The sequence below is a fragment of the Homo sapiens genome, chromosome 1 (assembly GCF_000001405.40).
Source record: "Homo sapiens chromosome 1, GRCh38.p14 Primary Assembly".
Lineage (NCBI taxonomy): Eukaryota > Metazoa > Chordata > Mammalia > Primates > Hominidae > Homo > Homo sapiens.
This window is the reverse complement of record NC_000001.11, coordinates 92,467,573-92,487,043: the sequence shown is the minus strand read 5'-3', so window position 1 is coordinate 92,487,043 and position 19,471 is coordinate 92,467,573. Positions and strand designations below refer to the sequence as shown.

The 19,471-nt window shown below is 48.2% G+C and overlaps 1 protein-coding gene across 6 annotated transcripts, besides 13 other annotated features; it reads left to right on the top strand.

Annotated features, from left to right (window-relative positions):
* Window positions 83-292: a silencer, noted in NCBI's record as "silent region_1075". NCBI's record gives its function as "represses an Ori minimal core promoter by ATAC-STARR-seq in GM12878 lymphoblastoid cells {active_cell/tissue: GM12878}" and the evidence as "EXISTENCE:reporter gene assay evidence [ECO:0000049][PMID:35858748]".
* Window positions 119-14,001, top strand: GFI1 (growth factor independent 1 transcriptional repressor). Of its 6 annotated transcripts, none has more exons than NM_005263.5 (7): window positions 119-318; window positions 3,458-3,671; window positions 3,998-4,180; window positions 5,956-6,443; window positions 6,559-6,696; window positions 8,291-8,456; window positions 10,837-14,001. In NM_005263.5, exons 2-7 carry the CDS (start codon window positions 3,557-3,559, stop codon window positions 11,013-11,015), a joined length of 1,269 nt encoding a protein of 422 aa, NP_005254.2. In that variant the 5' UTR covers window positions 119-318; window positions 3,458-3,556; the 3' UTR covers window positions 11,016-14,001. The 6 variants fall into 6 exon arrangements, with proteins under 6 accessions (NP_005254.2, NP_001120688.1, XP_011539548.1 ...); NM_001127216.3 differs by lacking the exon at window positions 119-318 and adding an exon at window positions 945-1,030; XM_011541246.3 differs by lacking the exon at window positions 119-318 and adding an exon at window positions 945-1,373.
* Window positions 383-492: a silencer, noted in NCBI's record as "silent region_1074". NCBI's record gives its function as "represses an Ori minimal core promoter by ATAC-STARR-seq in GM12878 lymphoblastoid cells {active_cell/tissue: GM12878}" and the evidence as "EXISTENCE:reporter gene assay evidence [ECO:0000049][PMID:35858748]".
* Window positions 863-1,012: an enhancer, noted in NCBI's record as "active region_1315". NCBI's record gives its function as "activates an Ori minimal core promoter by ATAC-STARR-seq in GM12878 lymphoblastoid cells {active_cell/tissue: GM12878}" and the evidence as "EXISTENCE:reporter gene assay evidence [ECO:0000049][PMID:35858748]".
* Window positions 863-1,542: a biological region, named in NCBI's record as "H3K4me1 hESC enhancer GRCh37_chr1:92951066-92951666".
* Window positions 935-1,535: an enhancer, noted in NCBI's record as "H3K4me1 hESC enhancer chr1:92951066-92951666 (GRCh37/hg19 assembly coordinates)". NCBI's record gives its function as "activates a minimal SCP1, AML or CMV promoter by ChIP-STARR-seq in primed H9 embryonic stem cells {active_cell/tissue: H9 hESC(primed)}" and the evidence as "EXISTENCE:reporter gene assay evidence [ECO:0000049][PMID:30033119]".
* Window positions 1,113-1,162: a silencer, noted in NCBI's record as "silent region_1073". NCBI's record gives its function as "represses an Ori minimal core promoter by ATAC-STARR-seq in GM12878 lymphoblastoid cells {active_cell/tissue: GM12878}" and the evidence as "EXISTENCE:reporter gene assay evidence [ECO:0000049][PMID:35858748]".
* Window positions 1,363-1,542: a silencer, noted in NCBI's record as "silent region_1072". NCBI's record gives its function as "represses an Ori minimal core promoter by ATAC-STARR-seq in GM12878 lymphoblastoid cells {active_cell/tissue: GM12878}" and the evidence as "EXISTENCE:reporter gene assay evidence [ECO:0000049][PMID:35858748]".
* Window positions 2,136-2,736: an enhancer, noted in NCBI's record as "H3K4me1 hESC enhancer chr1:92949865-92950465 (GRCh37/hg19 assembly coordinates)". NCBI's record gives its function as "activates a minimal SCP1, AML or CMV promoter by ChIP-STARR-seq in primed H9 embryonic stem cells {active_cell/tissue: H9 hESC(primed)}" and the evidence as "EXISTENCE:reporter gene assay evidence [ECO:0000049][PMID:30033119]".
* Window positions 3,323-3,452: a silencer, noted in NCBI's record as "silent region_1071". NCBI's record gives its function as "represses an Ori minimal core promoter by ATAC-STARR-seq in GM12878 lymphoblastoid cells {active_cell/tissue: GM12878}" and the evidence as "EXISTENCE:reporter gene assay evidence [ECO:0000049][PMID:35858748]".
* Window positions 3,323-3,936: a biological region, named in NCBI's record as "H3K27ac-H3K4me1 hESC enhancer GRCh37_chr1:92948665-92949264".
* Window positions 3,337-3,936: an enhancer, noted in NCBI's record as "H3K27ac-H3K4me1 hESC enhancer chr1:92948665-92949264 (GRCh37/hg19 assembly coordinates)". NCBI's record gives its function as "activates a minimal SCP1, AML or CMV promoter by ChIP-STARR-seq in naive H9 embryonic stem cells {active_cell/tissue: H9 hESC(naive)}" and the evidence as "EXISTENCE:reporter gene assay evidence [ECO:0000049][PMID:30033119]".
* Window positions 4,573-4,662: a silencer, noted in NCBI's record as "silent region_1070". NCBI's record gives its function as "represses an Ori minimal core promoter by ATAC-STARR-seq in GM12878 lymphoblastoid cells {active_cell/tissue: GM12878}" and the evidence as "EXISTENCE:reporter gene assay evidence [ECO:0000049][PMID:35858748]".
* Window positions 10,748-10,977: an enhancer, noted in NCBI's record as "active region_1314". NCBI's record gives its function as "activates an Ori minimal core promoter by ATAC-STARR-seq in GM12878 lymphoblastoid cells {active_cell/tissue: GM12878}" and the evidence as "EXISTENCE:reporter gene assay evidence [ECO:0000049][PMID:35858748]".

The window sequence follows — 19,471 nt, the reverse complement described above, 5'->3', positions numbered from 1 at the left end:
AGCCCGCGTGCGAGGTCCCGCTCTCCCTGGCTTGCCCCGGCAGGGCGGAGTCAGCCTAGCAGCCGCCGGCGCTGCCCCCGCGCGGCCTTTAATTTTGCAGCTCCGACCACCGGAAATTAGTCGAAGGCTGAGCGGACCCGGTCGAGAGCCGGCGAGCTCCGCGCAGGGAGGGTGCGCCCACCGGTCCCGCCGGGCGCCCGCGGGACGCGCCGCCAGGGCCCTCTCCGCCGGGGGCTCGGCGCTCGCCCACCTCTTCCAAATTTAACCATTACCTAAATCCGAAGGGAAATGAGCAAACCTCTCGGATTGGGTGTCAAGGTATTTTCAGCCTCGTTGGGCGTATTTATCCCCAAGTGTTTCCACAACAAGCTATTTCGGGGCCTGCGGGGCAGGTTTCGCTCTGCGGACGCCGTGGCCACTCGCCGGGCTCCAGGCCGGCGGCACCGCGGGCCGGTGATTCACGGTCCCGACCCGGGGGTGGTGCAGCCCTAGGAGGCGGCGGGGTCGGGGGTGGGGGGGGCGGGTGACCGAGGCCTGAGGGGCGGGGAGGGTCCTCGGAGCGGGGCGCCCCCCACCCCTCTCTCGCCAGTCAATCTGTGTCCTCAATCTGTGGCTTCTCTCGCTGCGGAAGTCTCCCTGGAGCCAAGAATAGTTCATTTTCTTTCAAGTCATTTCTAGTGCCTAAGTGTCCGGACCTCCAATTTCCCCCATCCCCTGCCGACCCACAGGGAGAGAACTGGGAGGACTACTAAGGGGCGCGCGGGACGGGCTGGAAAGGCCAGGCCCCCCACCGCCTGGCCACTTGCGCAAAGGAGCGCGCCCGGCCGCCCGACGGGGGTTGGGAGCAGGTCTGGGAGGGCTATGCGAGCGACTCAGTAACGCTCAGGAAGTGAAGCTTGTGGTTTTGGGGGCTGAGCTCGGAAGGAGAATTTTTTTTTTTTTTAAGTCAGAGAGATAGAGCGGTCTCTCCCGAAAGCAAGATTCCGTTTGAAAACTCTCCTAGCGCGGTGCCCGCGCCGTGACTCCGCAGGTAGGTCCGCCGAGCCTGTTCTGCGCCTCCTGCCCTGGTGGGGGCGGCCGCGGGGACTCGCAGAGCACTGGCACTGCGGGGGCGATCAGAGGGCGCGGGCGGTTTCCCACCTGCTGCGGACCGCCGTGCGGGAGCCCAGAGAGCTCCGGCAGCTGGGTTAGGGCGCGACCCGCGCAGTGTGACTGGAAATCTGGAGCTGGGGGCGCGCAGCAGGCGGTCTGGTGGTTCGGCAGGGGAGCCAAATCCACCAGGGAAGGAAACATCTGGTGGGGAGGCGGCGGCAGCTGCGCTCGGGAGGACGCCCCCTTAGCGCCCTCGGCTCCCTCCTTCCTGGGCCCGGACGGTGAGGAGAGGCCTGAGCGCGCGGAGGGGCCGCCCCACCTCCCGCGCCAGCTGCAGCGCGGGGTTGCCTTCCCACGCGCTCGGCCCAGGCCCCGGGGCCCCTATCTCCTCCAAACTCTGTCGCTCCCCACAGGAACCAGCAAAGCGGGCCGGGGTGCGAGAGAGGCGTGGGCTTACAGCCCGGGTGGGGAGGCGGCCTCCGCGTCCGCCTGGTCTCTGGTGGCGCCAGCCCAGACCCAGCTCCGGCGCTGACAGTTACCCCGCCCCCATCTGTCCCGCTCCCAGCCAACGTGGGTCCAAGCTGCAGCGGGACCCTCGGGACAACGCCACTCCGTTTTTCTTTTCTTCCGAGTTTCGTGGCTGTTTAAAGAATTGGGTTTGGGGTTTGTGGCGTCTAATTGTACGGACGAGAAGTGCAGGAAGCGACAAAGCTCTAGCCCTAGGAGCCACCCCGGAGGGAGGCGGATGGCACTCTCACCCCTAGGGGCATTCTGGCGCTTGGGTAGCGGGAAACTTCGCGGGAGCCCCGCGACACGTCCCAGGCGTCTTTTCTCCCAGGTCTATTCCCATTCCTCCGGAGAAGGGGACACAATGGGGCTGGGGATCTGGAGCAGGGGGCCTGCACCCTACAGGGACCAAGGCCTGTAGGACTCGTTTGAGCTGAGAGCGCCAACGGACAGACGTAGACTGTGTGGCCTGCATCTTGCCTAGGAAGCCGAGGGGCTCCTAGTCCGGCAGTGGAAACAGCGCGAAGCCGGAGGACTGCAGGTCCTGCCCCGGCCCAGAGTTCCCAGCACCCTCGTTTCTGAACCAGCCGAGGCCACGGAGAACTGCTGTACTGCAGCTCACGTGTGAACCCGGTCACCATCGCCTTCACCCCGGGAGGAAGGCAGATTCGTTTACTCCAGACCACCTCGACTGTGGGGTACCGCCCCCGGAGCCGGCTGGAGCCTAGCGGCAGGCGCAGCCACGCCCTCCCGCTGCGCTCAGATTTCGACCTGGTATTAGGTGAACTGATTGGGGGTTAATGAGAGCGACGCCCCGGGCAGCTAGTTCCCTCCCGGGCCCGGGCCCGACCCCCGCTCTCTGCTAATGCAGCCTGCGCGCTCTGGCGTCCTGTCTTTTTTGTCTGCTAAATTGTCGGTGCACTACCGACTCGGGACACCTAGCATTTCCCAGTCAACGTTCGTGGATCGGGCTCCACCTCCCTAGGACAAGATTTTTTGGTGAGCAGAACGGAAAGTGCTTTTTTCCCGGGACCTGATTCCCGAGGTTAGGTCTCCATGGTCTGGGATGGCTCGCCGCAGCCTCGACCGGTGCCCGCCGCAGCCGGGAGTCCAAGGGCAAAGTTTCTCCTACGTGGGGCACTAGTGAGGGGCGAGTGGGATCACCCAGATGCGAGTTTCTCCTGGGGCGGGGGTTGGTCGTCTGTTGTTCCCCTCACTTTCCTGTCCCTTTGCTCTCCCACCTCCTTTCTCTGGCCTCTGCTGTCCCCAATCCCTCTGCTGCTGTCCTCCCGCCGCCCCACAGTTTTATCTTGTGTTCTGTTCCCCCCTCCCCCCGGTCCTTTCACTCCAGTTGGTAGCTGGCTCTTGGAGGTCTTGGCTCCTTGCCCCTTCCGGGTCCTCGACCACTGGGCATCCCCGGCCCCTAAACCGATCCGCGTGTCCCCGCCCTCCCTCGCCAGCCGTAAAGCACAGCCAGGCAGGCGATGAGTAGCTGAGTTGGGGTAACCCACCCGATGGGAACTACAGCTCTCCAGGGAGTTTGATTGCCGGAGCGAGCTTCGCTAGGAAAGGGGAGGAGCTGGGGGGCGTGGGCAGGGAGGAGGAAAGGGGCCTGAGACAGGGCCCCGGGACAGGTTTTACCGCTGAGCTGTGTCAGTGGCGGCGGCGGCAACGACGGCGGGTTCGCGCCACCTGTCCAAGTGCCACCTGGTAAGCGCGGCGCAGCAGGGTCAAGCCCCTCCTCCCGTGGGCCCTCTGCGCGCCTCCCTGGCCCGCGCTCTCCCTCCGCCTGGGTGCCCAGTCCGCCGCACCGGAGAGTACTGACCCACGTCTCCACCTGGTTTTCTTTCCCTCTCAGGTCTCCTCCGGGCTGGGGCTGAGCAAGCCCTCGGAGTGACCGTGGGTGACAGCGGCTCCAGGGACTCTTGGGGCGCAGTGGGGAAAGTGCCGGACCACCATGCCGCGCTCATTTCTCGTCAAAAGCAAGAAGGCTCACAGCTACCACCAGCCGCGCTCCCCAGGACCAGACTATTCCCTCCGTTTAGAGAATGTACCGGCGCCTAGCCGAGCAGGTGCGAGGCGCGCGCGGGCCAGGCGGGGCTGCTCCCCCGGATGCCTACTGCACCTCGGCACACCATTAGTCCGGAGCTGGGAGGGGCTGCCCCAACGTCCCTTTTGCTGCTGTTTTTGTTTCCTACTGTCCTGGTTCCTCCGGGTTTGTCTCCTAGGTGCCATGGCCTCTCTGCGCCTGCCCTCGGATCCGAGAGGGTTCCCGGCCGGGGTCTGGGTGGAGAGGGGAAGACGCTCGGCTGCCCTGGTCGGGGGATTGGGGGAGCCTTCAGCACCCTCAGACTCAACCGGTCCCAGCCTGAGCCCCTCACCTGCCTCCTCTTTGCAGACAGCACTTCAAATGCAGGCGGGGCGAAGGCGGAGCCCCGGGACCGTTTGTCCCCCGAATCGCAGCTGACCGAAGCCCCAGACAGAGCCTCCGCATCCCCAGACAGCTGCGAAGGCAGCGTCTGCGAACGGAGCTCGGAGTTTGAGGACTTCTGGAGGCCCCCGTCACCCTCCGCGTCTCCAGGTAGGAACCCACTGGGAACCTCTTGGGCGGGAGCTGCAGGGACCCGGCAGTGCTGGGGGGGAATTGGCGCGACCTTGGGCGTAGAAATGCTAACGGGGAGTTGGAGAGTCTTTCCGGGAGAAGGGAGCTGATTCGTAGGGGAAGGAGGCATCCGGCTTCTCTGGGACTTGGACAGCTTGCCCGCTGGGGCTGCTGCCTCCATCCCAGGCGGCAGGACCCTAGCTGCTTGTCGCTTAGATTCGTTTGCGCGGAGCTGGCCAGTGACGGAAAACAAACCAGTCGTTTCGACTGGCGGCAACGCTGACCTTTCATTTTCTGACCAGACCTGACTGTTTTATAAAGTGCTAGGATCCTGCAATCTAGACCCCCAAACCTCAAACAGAGAACAGGGCAGAACGGGCCAGGCAGAGGAGCTAGGCGCTGGGCGGCAGGGAGGGGGCAGGACGAAAATCTCAGCCCGCGGCTTGGTCTTCACAGGCGCAGATTGGGGGCCTGTTTCATTTTTCGTTTTGCCGGGTTAACCTAGCCTCAGGGGCCTGCTCTCTGGGTTTCATTTCCAGCGAGCAATCCAGCTTCAGGCAAACTAAGTGACCACACGTTGGGTGGGGGCGTCTCGAGTCCCGGCCGGGGGAAGGAATGAGCAGACCAGCCGGATTCTGTCAAGGGCCGGTTATATCCAGAATATGTTTGCTAGTTTTAGAAGATACCACCACCCGTCCCACAATCAGTGAGTTGACTTGGCGAAAACCATAGCTCCAGCAAGTGTGTCTGGGAGCCGGCGGCGGGAGGATTCTTCCTGCCAGGGCGTCAAGTGGCCAGACAAGGATTGGGCGCGCCCCGAACCCCTCCGAACGAAACTCCGGGTACAGCCTCTCACTGAAGTGGCCAGCCTGAACTGGAGTGTTGTGCGCACACACACACACACACATTTGTAAATGCCGTATGCACTCACATGCGTTGGGGTCACTAGTTTTAGCAAAATTCACGTGGGTGGGGGCGTAGCAGGCCGAGAATTCAGAGCTGTCTCCTTGCAGGTGGTGGCTAAACCTTATGAGTTATAGTTATTCTCTGAGAAATTCAGGTTCCCCGCCTCCATCAAACTGTAACAGGAATGGGGAGTATTTGGCTGTCAATTTAAGCCCAAAAGCCCCTTTCCTGCTGCTCCTTTGCTACGTACACTGGGCACTTAACTTCGTGAAATCTTAATACCTTCGGGTTTATTCAGACAGCAGCCTTTCGGGTAGTTCGGGGCCGCATTTATGGACCTTCTCCCTCCTTCCTCTTGGATTCTGGGAAGAAAAAGAATTGAATGGGAACATGTAGGGGCTGGGAGAGTGCCTGCGCTGGTGGCTGGACCCTTCCGCCCTTGAGTGCTGTGAGGGGCCGAACGGCCGCCACCTTCTCCTTCTTAACAGCTCAACTACGGGCATTTATAGATGCGCCCTTCCCTGTAGGATCTCCAGGTGCGCGGGTCCAGCCAGAAAAGATCCTCGGAACGCCGAGCGCCTCCGCTGCACTCGCACAGAATTTACGACCTCCTCTCCCGAGGTCTTTTCAATGATCTGTTTACTGTTCTGCCTCCTATAGTGGCCTGCGAGGCCCCAGGGCCCGGGCCACGTTTTACCCTGGGGCGAGCCTGGCACCTGGCGCACGCAGTGTTCTACAAGCGCTGGGTGCCCCGCAGTCCGCGAACACGCCACGCTCGCAGCCGCAGCCCGGCGGCCTCCGCTCTGCCGTCTGAAGCCTGACCGGACGCTCCCCTTGTGCCTCCACAGCCTCGGAGAAGTCAATGTGCCCATCGCTGGACGAAGCCCAGCCCTTCCCCCTGCCTTTCAAACCGTACTCATGGAGCGGCCTGGCGGGTTCTGACCTGCGGCACCTGGTGCAGAGCTACCGACCGTGTGGGGCCCTGGAGCGTGGCGCTGGCCTGGGCCTCTTCTGCGAACCCGCCCCGGAGCCTGGCCACCCGGCCGCGCTGTACGGCCCGAAGCGGGCTGCCGGCGGCGCGGGGGCCGGGGCGCCAGGGAGCTGCAGCGCAGGGGCCGGTGCCACCGCTGGCCCTGGCCTAGGGCTCTACGGCGACTTCGGGTCTGCGGCAGCCGGGCTGTATGAGAGGCCCACGGCAGCGGCGGGCTTGCTGTACCCCGAGCGTGGCCACGGGCTGCACGCAGACAAGGGCGCTGGCGTCAAGGTGGAGTCGGAGCTGCTGTGCACCCGCCTGCTGCTGGGCGGCGGCTCCTACAAGTGCATCAAGTGCAGCAAGGTGAGGCTCCCGAGCTCACCACCTCGCCTGCCGTGCGCCCGCTTCCCCTACCCGCGCCTCGCCTGCGCCCCGCGGCCCCTCTCAGCGGCCTTCTCTCTGGCCCCACCCGCCTTAGGTGTTCTCCACGCCGCACGGGCTCGAGGTGCACGTGCGCAGGTCCCACAGCGGTACCAGACCCTTTGCCTGCGAGATGTGCGGCAAGACCTTCGGGCACGCGGTGAGCCTGGAGCAGCACAAAGCCGTGCACTCGCAGGTAAGCGCGGGGCGCACCGCCGCGCGCGGCCCTGCTCGGGGATCTTCTGCATCTCCTCGGTGCAGCACCAGCCACTCTCTGCCTGGAAGTTTTCTCCTCGACTTCCCCCAGTTTCCTCCCCCAAGCCCTCCGCTGCGTCCCCTTGCCCTGGTGCAGGTGTGTAGGGAAAGGAGGATTGTGGCCGGCTCAGGCCTTGAGGCAGCCCTGGATTTTGGTGTCACACCACTGTGAGCCTCGAGAGTGTGATCCTCATTGTTACTTTGGGCTTGAGGTAGGTTTGTATGCACTGATTCGTGCTGCTGATATATCAGACTTACTAGCTCTGTTTCTTTGTGCCTATTCTTTTCACCAAATGGTTGTCACTTAATTTGCATTGACCCCTCTCGACTGAAAAGGCAGGAATCTCAGCTCATTTAGAGCATCTAGTAGCATATTCACCCCGCTATTCATTCTTTCCTTCCTTCCTTTCTTTTCTTTTCTTTTTTCTTTTCTTTTCTTTCAGAGTCTGGCTCTGTTGCCCAGGCTGGAGGGCAGTTGCACAATCTCAGCTCACTGCAACCTCCCCCTGTCAGGTTAAAGTGATTCTCGTGCCTCAGCCTCCTAAGTAGCTGGGATTACAGGCGCATGCCACTACAGCACAGCTAATTTTTGTGTTCTTAGTAGAGACGGGATTTCGCCACGTTAGCCAGGCTGGTCACGAACTCCTGGCCTCAAGTGATCCACCAGCCTGGGCCTCCCAAAGTGCTGGGATTACAGGCGTGAGCCACCATGCCCCACCGCCGCTATTTATTCATTCATTCATTAATAAATATTTGTTGGCTAACTTCCAGGTGCCAAGTACTTAAGAATCTTATAACACATCAGGTCCTTGACAGCATGCCCACATGAAGATTATAGTTTAGCTGAGAGATGGAGAGTAGATGAGCAAGTAAATATGCCAATAGCTATCTCAGGAGAATGCCTACTTACGAAGGCTAAAAAGAGTATTAGCCCATCTCCCCCAGCACCCACACTGGCTGGGGGGAGGTGGCATCTCAAGTGACTGAGGTCTAAGCCTCCTGTTGAGGAGGGTGGAGAAGTGTGTGCTAATGGGTGTCAAAAAAAGCAGGGTGTGGATATGTATTTGCCATGGGGTGTGGAAGGTTGTGGGTGAAGAATGTTTTGGTAGAAAAAGTGTTGAAGGGCCAGGCACGGTGGCTCACGCCTGTAATCCCAATACTTTGAGAGGCCGAGGTGGGCGAATCACTTGAGGCCAGGTGTTTGAGACCAGCCTGACCAACATGGTGAAACCCCATCTCTACTAAAAATACAAAAATTAGTCAGGTGTGATGGCGTGTGCCTGTAGTCCCTGCTACTTGGGAGGCTGAGACACGAGAATTGCTTGAACCTGGGAGGTGGAGGGTGCAGTGAACTGAGATCGTTCCACTGCACTCAAGCCTGGGCGACAGAGGAGACTGTCTCAAAAAAAGAAAGAAAAAGTGTTCAAGGGATTTTAGGGTCAGCTGAGGGGTGAGGAGAGCAGCAGTCTAGTTGACTGCAGTAGGAGTTCTGCATCTCTCTCTCTCTCTCTCTCTCTCTCTCTCTCTCTCTGCAGGAACGGAGCTTTGACTGTAAGATCTGTGGGAAGAGCTTCAAGAGGTCATCCACACTGTCCACACACCTGCTTATCCACTCAGACACTCGGCCCTACCCCTGTCAGTACTGTGGCAAGAGGTTCCACCAGAAGTCAGACATGAAGAAACACACTTTCATCCACACTGGTGAGCTAAAAAGGCCCTTGGCTTGTAGGAAACACCCTGAGGCCAACATTACTCATCTTCTCTGATTTCTGGCCCCAGTGAGTGGTGGATGAGGCCTTTCTGATGGAGTTATTCTCTGCTCTGTGTTAAAGAAAACAAAGGGGTGGGTTCTTTGGTTCATTTACCGGCATAATTCTCCCCAGAGCCACCTTGATTTGGGGTTGTGTCTGAAAGGCCACTCAGCAGGTCAGCTCACAGGTACTCTATACTTGGAAAGAACATTTTCCTTTAGGTTAGCAGCTGCTTCCCCTGCTGCCTGCTCTGGGTGAAATATGAAGCTCCAGGGTCCTCTTAGAGAGTTGCTCTAAAGCTTACCTAGAGATTGAGGACTTTCCCTAACCACCTGGCCTTTTGTGGGAGGGACTCGTGTGGACTCTCCGGCTGCATTTTCAGGAGTCTGAGAGCTTATTCTGATTGAAGAGGAACAAATAATGGCAAATATGATTAAACTCTCTGCTAAGCATTTTTTAAATGCATTATTTCATTTTATGCTCACAACAACTCTGAGAGGTAGCGACTACTCCTTCTCCCCATTTTAGAGATGAAAAAAATGAGGCTAGGTAATCTGCCCAGGGTCACACTGCTAGCAAATGACAGGGCCAGAGCTCAAATTCAGGTCTGACCTCTCAAATGTTCACTCTTGACCACTGTTTATTGTATTTTATGTTCAGAGTCATGAGGTTGGTAGACAGAAAGCTTCTGTTCACTTATTGCCCTTTTCAAAATATCTGCAAGTTAATGCCATAATAATGATAATTCCTTACCTATTATAATGCTTTATAATTTACAAAGTACTTTCAAATCTATCATTTCATTTGATTCTTATTGCCACTCAAGAAAGTAGAAGGAGCTGCTCTTACCATCCTGAAACTCAGAAAGAGTGAATGATTTATCAGAAGTAAGACTGAATGAATAATGTAGCCATGTAATGCTCTGGCTTTTAATCCTGGACTGTTTGTCTAACACTTTATGTGCGGGTGGGAGTTTTAATGCCAAGAACACTCTAATAGTCAAAAGACATTTACATGAGACCCAGAATTTCTGAAAATTTTATTGCAGAATATGAATACTGATTTAGAACAAATCACAGTGTATTCTAAACACCCACCCTTGATGTTTATAAATATACTTGGGTAATGTATATATTTCCATTGAAAACCCAGAAAAGTATTCTACTTTAATCATTCCCTCTTACCTGAAATTTCCATGTAATTCACTCCTTATAAGTAAGGTATTCAGGACACTTATCAAAATGCAACTAGGATCTTGACTGAATAAAACATTAAGCCCTTATCAAACATTTACGTTATACCTAGAATTTGTTTTCTCAGATTTGTTTGACCCTAAAGGGATAGAATACATTTTGATGGGTGGTTTCTTATCAAGGAAATCTGAAGCATGAAAACAGAAAAGAGTTTTTAGCAAGGAGGACAGAGGGTTCCTCAAAAACAAACTTCATCTATTTTATACTTTTTCCAAGGCTGAGCCCTGACTATAATGCCATGCTGGGCTATTGGAAATTCATGCCATTTACCCAACAACACATGAGATGGGGAACAAGACAAAACCTTCTTGTGTTCTCTTATTTATTAATTTGTGGTGAAGAATTGCTGGTATATAAAGAATCATGTGATTAACCCCATAAAATTAAGGAAAAATCAAGACAGTAAAGTATCAGCTGCCTTAATCCTTTGTGGCCCAAATGTGGATTTTTAAAATAAGATATTGAAAAACGTATCCTGCACATGTACCCCGGAACTTAGAAAGAAAGAGAGAGAGAGAGAGAAATAAAGAAAGAAAGAAAGTCCATGTTAAGATGTTTTTTCAGATATAATCTGCTGTCCTTCAAGAACAAGAAAGAAGACGGGCTCACTGATCCATACAAACTAACACCCACTTGGAAATTCAGATTTGAAAACTTCCTCTGAATTAGAACGGAGTCACACGGTTTTAGGACAGCTTCCCCCTCCCCTTCCTGTTGAACATCTGCTCTGAGTGTTCATGGCTTATAAAGTCAGGGGAGTCCTCCCGGGGTAGATTCAGCTGGGGAGGGCACGTGGCCTTTGCTCTGTTTCCGTTTAGCAGGAAACCGTTTGAGGCCTTTGGCTGGGAACCCCCCTTCAGAAAGTCTCCCTTTCACCTGGTGCCCCCATGGTGCTTCCAGGGACTCGCATTGCAGGCTGGGAGTCAGTTCAGGTTGCAACACGTCACCCTCCAAGTTGCTTGAAGGCCTTAGACTGTGGTGCAACCAGCTGCTGCCAAGAGCATGTGGGTCACAGTGGGTCCCCTCTAGCTTTATCATAGACTCATACTTTCTCCCCTCCCCCTCCCATCCCCACAGGTGAGAAGCCTCACAAGTGCCAGGTGTGCGGCAAGGCATTCAGCCAGAGCTCCAACCTCATCACCCACAGCCGCAAACACACAGGCTTCAAGCCCTTCGGCTGCGACCTCTGTGGGAAGGGTTTCCAGAGGAAGGTGGACCTCCGAAGGCACCGGGAGACGCAGCATGGGCTCAAATGAGCACCCTGGCTGGCTGCAAGCAGCAGCTACACAACACTACAGAGGGCAGCCTCCCTGCTTGCCACCACTCTGCTCCCTGCTTGCCTCCACTCCCTTCTGACTTTCCAGACCCCAGGTCCAGTCTGCAGATCCTACCAGGTTGCTCCTCCTTCGCCTTACCTCCTGGAGCTGCCAGAAGAAATGAGGTACCTTTTCAAAGTGCAGCCGAGAGTGAGAACCAAGTGACTCTCTAGGCTTCGGACACAAATAGGCTCCTCTACACCTGAAGACAAAGGCAAAGTCAAATGGGGACCAGAATAAATCTTAGACCCCACAGTCCTTCCCATTTCCAGCCCTAATCTACAGACAGGAATGCCCTTCAGGTTTCTTCCCTCCCCCCTCTTGACCTACCCCAGATATTTGTGTGGAAGAGGAGGAATCACCATTTACAAGGTGGACAAATGCTAATATTTTTATCTAGAAAGAAGAGTGAGTGTTAACTTTTATTTTTTTCCTTCTGGGGGGTCTGTTGACTCCTTTCTTTTGGGTGCTGCCTATAAATCTTGGAGGAATCATTTCTCCTCCTCAAAAACTGATTCAGAAACTGACTTGGGGAAGGAATTTAATACTTTGAAGTCATGAGATGCACCATCGAGGCTACCCCCAAGAAGAAGCAGAAGAGAAGTTGGTAATGAGAGGGGATTAGAGGTCCTCCCTTCAGTAGGGCTGTGAAAACCTCATCACTGGAGGTAAAAGCACAAGCAATGCCTGTGGACAAGATGTCATTCATTCACTCAGCAAATGTTCATGGATCACCGGCTACCAAGGTACCAGGCACCATGCTAGGTATTGGGGAAGAGAGACTGAAGTCACAACCCCTGACTGCTCCTCAAAAGCTAACGGTTGCACCTCCAAGTGGCTGGGTCTGTTCTTACTCTTGGAGGGAATTCTGAGAAGACAGCACAGAATTGTAAACCTTCCCTTTTGACCCTTTTGGATTTTATCAGGTGTAAACAAAAAGCTGAACAGTTACTTCAAAGATATGTGTGTATATTCAGTTTTTTATTGTTAAGCTGATATTTTAAAGATTTCTGAGCTAGCAGGCATGTGGGAAGGAAGGCTCTGTCTTCAACTCTTTGACCCTCCATGTGTACCATAGAGGGGGGAAAGGTGGTATTTTCACTTTGATGAGGTTGGTAAATGTTTTTAGATCTTCTGGTAAGCATTATGTTTGTTAATACATATTTATTAGAGTGATGTTTTAAGTTAATAAAGTATTAAGAGTATTACAGATTGCCTTTCCTTTAGGCAGGGAATTTGGGGAAGACCTTTGTTTTAGTCTGTAGGGGGAAAGCTGGCACTGAAGGAAACTGCAATGGAGTATAAAAGTGAAGCACACAAGCTAATATCCAGAAGAGTAAAATCCAATTGCTCGGGTTTCCATATACTTTCTCCTTTGCTGCTACACCTCAGAGATACTTCTTTCATCTTCTTTCATAAGAGAAAAACTAGGAGGTGTACAAAACTAAGCTACTACCTTGTAGAGCCCCTGATGGTTCCACAGGCACGTAAGTAAGCTCTTTCCTCTGAAAATGTCAACATATTTTTTTAGGGGCCTGAAGGCTCCCAGATGAATAAAGAAATCACAGGTCTTAGGTCTAGGTTTTAGTTTTAGTCACAGCTCTGTCACCAACACATCATGTGACTTGTGTAAATCTTTTGACTTCCCCGATACTGGTTTCCTTGATCAAGTAATACGGAGACAGCTCTGTCATTCCTGTCCAACCCTGACCGCTTTGATTCTGTGGAGACTGGAAAGGAAAAAAAGTGTGAGATTGGTTAGCTGCCTCCCCTAATGCAAGTCACAAATCTAAAGGCCCATGAGGATCTGGGTTATTTCTGGTTCTGTCCCACCTGTGGGAGTTTTTTGCATAAGTCAATCCTTTAAGAGAATGAAACCAGAATAAAATCCTGGCCAAAATCCCTACTACTAGTGCTTTAACACCTCCCAGCCAGACATTCAGGGTATGCATGCCCCATGGTGAGAACCAGCAGATTGCCCATTTCCAACTCAAATTGATTTCACACATATAATTGAGCACCCAGTATGTGCTGGGCATTCTTCTAGGGGGTGGAGATATAGCAGTGAGGACAATGTCTTACGAAGCTTTATTTATTCATTGTTGAATCCTCAGTTCCCAGAATAGTGCCTGGCACACAGTAGGAGATTAATAAATATTTACTGAGATGTTAAGTGAATAAACAGAAAATAAGCTCCTGCTTCATCCTAGGGCCTGGCTCTGCTCTCTACAGCACAAAGGGAAGAGAGATTGCTTGACAGCCTGGGAAACAAATAGAATCCACACGACTTTCTCTCCAGGTTGGCAGGAAAGGGGGGCTTGAATGCTGCTTTTCTCTGGTTTCTCCAAATCTCAGTCCTTGGCTGTCCTCACCTGATTTCCAGCACCATGTCTTTCCATGTCAGTTTACTCTCATTCAGAATTTAAATTCGTTTACTCTGTAATGGAGTTTAAGATAGTTTTTCAGAACTGATGGATGATGAACAGTTGCAGCGTCCAGGAACCACTTCCTAGTGTCCTGGGAGACAATCCTCCCAGTGAATGAAAATGACAAAAACATCCTTCCCACAGAAGTCACCCTGTGTACTGGTTGGTTATTTCCAACCTGGTTTGAAAAGTAAAGAAGTTGCACTGAGGGGTAAGTAGAACTGATTGAAATCTAGGTGCCTGTGCTGTCCTGCTCTTCCCTTATGACGTTTAGAACATTTGGTCCATTTTTGTTATCCCTGTTTATGCTCTAAGTGAGGAATTGTAATTTTGATGTTAACTGTATGCCTTTTTTTTTTTTTTTTGGTAAAAAATGTATCTTGATATCCCCAGTTCAGAATCAAAACAAATTACTGTGCCTGTTACCGTGTGAAATTTGAAGATTGCAAATATCTCTCTTAATGTTATTACTTGACTCCATTAAAAATAGATTGTGAATATTCCATGTCACATTATTCATGAGGCAGGCTCTATGCCTTTTGTCTGCTGGAGTAACAGTAGAAAGGGTAACAAGAGACACCAGAGCACACCTTTGTTTCTTTCACTAAATTTTTAATAACACCTCCAGCTAGCCAGTTGGTGAAGCTCAGCTCTTGCATAAAAGTGGAAAAGCACAGCTATCTCTGAGAAGACCAACTCTTTCAGCGCTAATTTGAGTTTGCGTTCATCTACACCAGACGTGATTAAATTACCTATCAAGTGTGCTGAGCTATCAGGATTCAGGCCACGTAAAAGGTGAATTTCATCTGATTGATTTGAGACACGGATGGAACAATTGAGTTTTAAAAGCCCCGCCTTAATTAAAGGGATAGAAGAGTATCACTCCCCGGCGACTTCTTGACTGCCATTGCCCTTGAAAACTGGGTGGTGATAGTGATTTGACCCAAGTCACTTTGTTGTGTGCCTGTTTGTTCAACCTGATCATTTCACAGAAAGAAATGAACTCAGAGGAAATCCTGAAAGGACTTCACTACTTTTTACTGGGCATTTCTACAGAAATGCCATTATTATTTCTACAGAAAAAACTTTTTAGGAAGTATATAATACGTTTATTTTAACCCCCTTTTCCCATTCATTAAGTCAGATTTTAAAAATTAAAAAGTTAAAGAAATTGCACCCTAAATCCTTCTAGCTTAAAAGCTTATGTTCTTTTTGTATGCGTTCCTTTCTAGTTTGTTCCTTTCTAGTCTTTAGGCACATGTGCGTATATTTATATTTTATAATTTTTGTCTAGATAGCTCTTTTATTATATGGACACATACTTAAAACAGATATTTCACAATGAGAATTTGGACAATTTTATGACCAAATTTTATTGAAATCTTAGTATTTTATTGGGAATCTTATCAATCATTGAGAAAAAGTCTTTTCTGAAGTTTAATGTTATCACTTTTTGAATAAAACATTTTAGGCATACTGGAAATTGCAGAGAATAATAAACATCAGTGTACCCACCATTCTGCCATATTTACTTCAGATTTTATTTTTGAAATAACATGTTACAGGTATAGTTGAATTTCTTCTGGGATATATTCCTCTCTAGCCCCATTTCCTTTCTTTTCTCCTCAGAGGCATCCATTATACCAAAATCAGTATATATAATTGCCACGAATATTTGTATGCCTTTAATTTATACATAATTCCATAAATAATATATAATCATATAAATATATAATTAATATAATAAAAATATAATTGTATTTATATATAAATATATAATTATGTAAATATATAATTTAGCATATTAACTTCATGTAAATGGATCATAGTTTATACTTCTGCACTTTTCTGGTTTTTTTGCTTAACACATTGTTTTTGAGATTTATCCATGTTGATATGTGCAGTTTAGTTCCTTTATTTTAACCACTGCATATGGAATTCCATGGGATGAATGCTTGGTAATTTATTCTCCTGTTGGGAGAGTTTGGGTCATTTCCAGTTTTTCCTATTACAAATGATTCTGAAGCAAACAACCTTTTATGTATCTCTTTTGTGAGAGATTCTTTAGGATGTATTCCTGGGAATGAAAATGCTGGATATTATCAAACTGCTCTTCAAAATGGTTGTTCCAATTGACAGTCTCCCCAGCAATGTAGAATTCCTGTTACTCCAAATCTTACCAACACTTGGTATTGTCAAACTTTAAACATGTCTGCCAATCAGATGGATGTGAATGTCATTGTAATTTGCATTTCCTGATTCCTAGTGAGGTTGAGTATCTTTTTATAAGTTGATGGGCCTGACAGATTTCCTTTCCTATGAAATGCCTCTTCATGTACTTTGTCCATTTTTCTGTTGGTTGTTTGCTTTTTATCAATTTGTTCTTTAAATATATTCTAAACGCTCACTGTTATGTTAGTTAAATGTGTTGCATACTTATCCCAGTCTATGGTTTGCCTTTTCACTTTGAAGAGAGGATTGTTTGCTTGTTTTGTTTTTGTGTGTAATCAAATGTATTAGTCTTTTCCTCAATGGTTTATGCTTCTTACATATCATTTACACTCTTTCCCTAGCTGGTGGTCATTAGATTCCCTATATTTTCTTCTAAAAGTGTTTAAATTTCTGTTTGTAACATTAGGTTTTCTTTTTTTTTTTTTTTTTTAGGTGGAGTCTCACTCTGTCACCCAGGCTGGAGTGCAGTGGCGCAATCTTGGCTCACTGCAAACTCTGCCTCCCGGGTTCAAGCGATTCTCCTGCCTCAGCCTCCCAAGTAGCTGAGACTACAGGCATGTGCCACCACACCTGGCTAATTTTTTATTTTTAGTAGAGACAGGGTTTCAACATGTTGGCCAGGCTGGTCTCGAACTCCTGATCTCAGGTGATCCACCCACCTCGGCCTCACAAAGTGCTGGGATTACAGGCGTGAAACATTAGCTTTTTAATCCACTTGTGTGTGTATAGTATAAAGTAGGACCTAATTTTAAAAATTTTCTTCACCATTAGTAATGGATAACCAATTATCCCAACATTATGTATTGCTATTTTCATCCTTTTCCCTCTGATTGTAATGCCACCTCTGTCATATGTCAAGTTTCTATTTCTGTATGGTTCTATTTCCAGGCTTGCTGATCTGTTCCACTGGTCATTTTGTCTATCTCTATGCCAAAGCCATAGTGTCTTAAATAATTTAAGTTACAATAAACTCTTAATAGCTAGTAGGGAAGGCTGCCTTGTGACCTGTTTCATCCTCTTCAGGAGTATCCTGGCTACCTTTGGCCCTTCGTTCTTGCATGTGAAAAACTCTATTGGAATTTAGGTTTGTATTACATTTATTATTTAATTTGGGGAGAATTGAAATTATTTTGCTATTGATTCTTCCTATACATAAATATGGTATATTGATTACTTATTTAATCTTCTTTTATGGCTTTCAATAACACTTTGTCATTGTCTGCATAATTTAATTACTTTTTAAACTTATTTTCTTAGTTCTTTTTTTGAAAATTGAATTTTGTCATTGCTGCTGATGTATGGGAACAAAATTAATTTTTCTATATGTTGATCTTGTATCCTGCAACTTTGCTGAACCCTCTTTTTTGGTTTTTGCAGATTATTTTAGATTTTCAGAGTAAGATAGCCATAAGATATTCAAGTGATTATAGCTTTATTTCATTCTTTCCATCTTATTATTGCCTCACTGCACTGGCCAGGGCTATACTGAATAGGGGCTGAATAATAGTCATCTTTGTCTTATTCCCTTATTCCAGGGAAATATTTTTAGTTTTTCACAACTTCATGTGATGTTTTTGGTAGGTTTTTGGTAGATAACTTGTTAAAAATGAGATTAGGAATTTCTGTTTCTATTTGGTAAGAATTTCCACTTGTGTATGTGTGTTTTTAATCAATGGGTATTTAATTATTTTTGTGTGATTTTTCTGCATCTATTGAGAGAATAAATATATTTTTAATCTTTTATCCTTTGTCAACATGCAAATTATATTTATAATTTTCTCTAATGTTTTAAATTATCCTTGTATTATTTGGGGAAAAAACCCCCACCTAGAGGGAATAAATTCCAACTTAGTCATTTAAACAACATTGCTGATTTGGTTTGCTGACCTTTACTTAGGATTTTTGCATTATACTTACTAGTGAAATTGGCTTATAATTTTTATTTCTTATGCTGCCCAAGGTTTAACATGTTTCAAAATGAACAGGGTAACATTTCTTCTTCTTCTGTTTTCTGGATCAATTTGTGAAGGACTGGAATTATATGTTCTCTGAATGTTTGATAGAACTCACCTGGGATTTTTTTGATGAAGGCTAGCAAAGAGGAGGGTATATTTAAGTTTTAGTTACTATAGGTCTATTCAGGTTTTTAATTTTTTCTTAAATATGCTGTATCATGGCTGGGCACGGTGGCTCATGCCTGTAATCCCAGCACTTTGGGAGGCCGAGACGGCTGGATCACGAGGTCAGGAGTTCGAGACCATCCTGGCTAACATGGTGAAACCCTGTCTCTACTAAAAATACAAAAAAATTAGCCGGGCGTGGTGGCGGGCATCTGTGGTCCCAGCTACTTGGGAGGCTGAGGCGGGAGAATGGCATGAACCAGGGAGGTGGAGCTTGCAGTGAGCCGAGATCGCCCCACTGCATTCCAGCCTGGGTGACAGAGCAAGACTCCATCTCAAAAAAAAAATGCTGTATCATATATATATATCAGCATATTTATAAGTATCCAAATTAATTGCCACAGACATTTCATAGAGTTCTCTGATTTTTAAAAAATGTCTACTCCACCTATAATTATGTTCAATTTTTCTTTCTGATATTGTTCATTTGTACCTTTATCTTTTTTCTTTAATATTGCCAAAGGTCCCTATTTTATTAGTTTTTGCAGCATATTTTCATTGTCATTCATTTCTATATCTTATCTAACAATATTTCTTATTTGACAGATGTATTATTTAGAAGTACATTTAAAATTTCTAAACATCTCTGGCTTAGAGTTGCAAAATAAAATTCTAAACATGTTTTTTCAGTAATTTTTGTAAGTGATTTATAATTTAATTATATTTTGATCAGAGAACCTGACTTGCATAATATTAATTCTCTAATATTTGTTGAGATTTATTTTGTGGCCTTCTCCATGGTCAATTTTTATAGATAATGTGTGCTTGAAAAGAATGTATATATTCTAATTGCCAAGTGCAAGTTCCACTATGATTAAGCTTGTGATTATATTGTTCGAATTTTCTATATCCTAAATAATTTTGGTCTGCTTAATCAACCAATCACTGAGAGAGATAGGTTTTACTTTCTCATGGTGATTATTAAGTTATAAATTTTTCCTTTAAGTTCTTTTTTTTTTTTCCATGTGAGCTTGAGAAAAATCTCCTTTGAATTCTGTTAACTCTTTTTCTTTTACCTATTTTGAGGGTTGTTATTAGGTGCATAAAATTTTGAACTATTTCGTATTCCTGGTGAATTATTCCTTTTTTAATCATCATTCTATTGTACTCATTGCCTTTAGTTTTTTGTTTGGTTGGTTGGTTGTTTTTTTTTTAAGTTTTTTTTTTTCCTTAGAGACAGGGTTGCCTAGGCTGGAGTGCAGTGGTGCTATCTCGGCTCACTGCAGCCCTGACCTCCCTGGCTCAGGTGATTCTTCTACCTTAGCCTCCTGAGTGGCTGGGACCACAGGCACATACCACCACACCCTTCTAATTTTTGTAGTTTTTGTAGAGATGGGGTTGCACCATATTTCCCACACTGGTCTTGAGCTGCTGGCCTCAAGCAATCCATCTACCTTGGGCCTTCAAAATGCTGCGATTACAAGTGTGAGCCACTATGGCTGGCCTATTTTTACATGGTATTTTTAATGTCCTTTTATTTTTAATCTTTTTATGTTCTTATGCTTTAGGAATATATCTTTGTAAATAGCATTAATTCAATATTATTTACCTTTTTAAA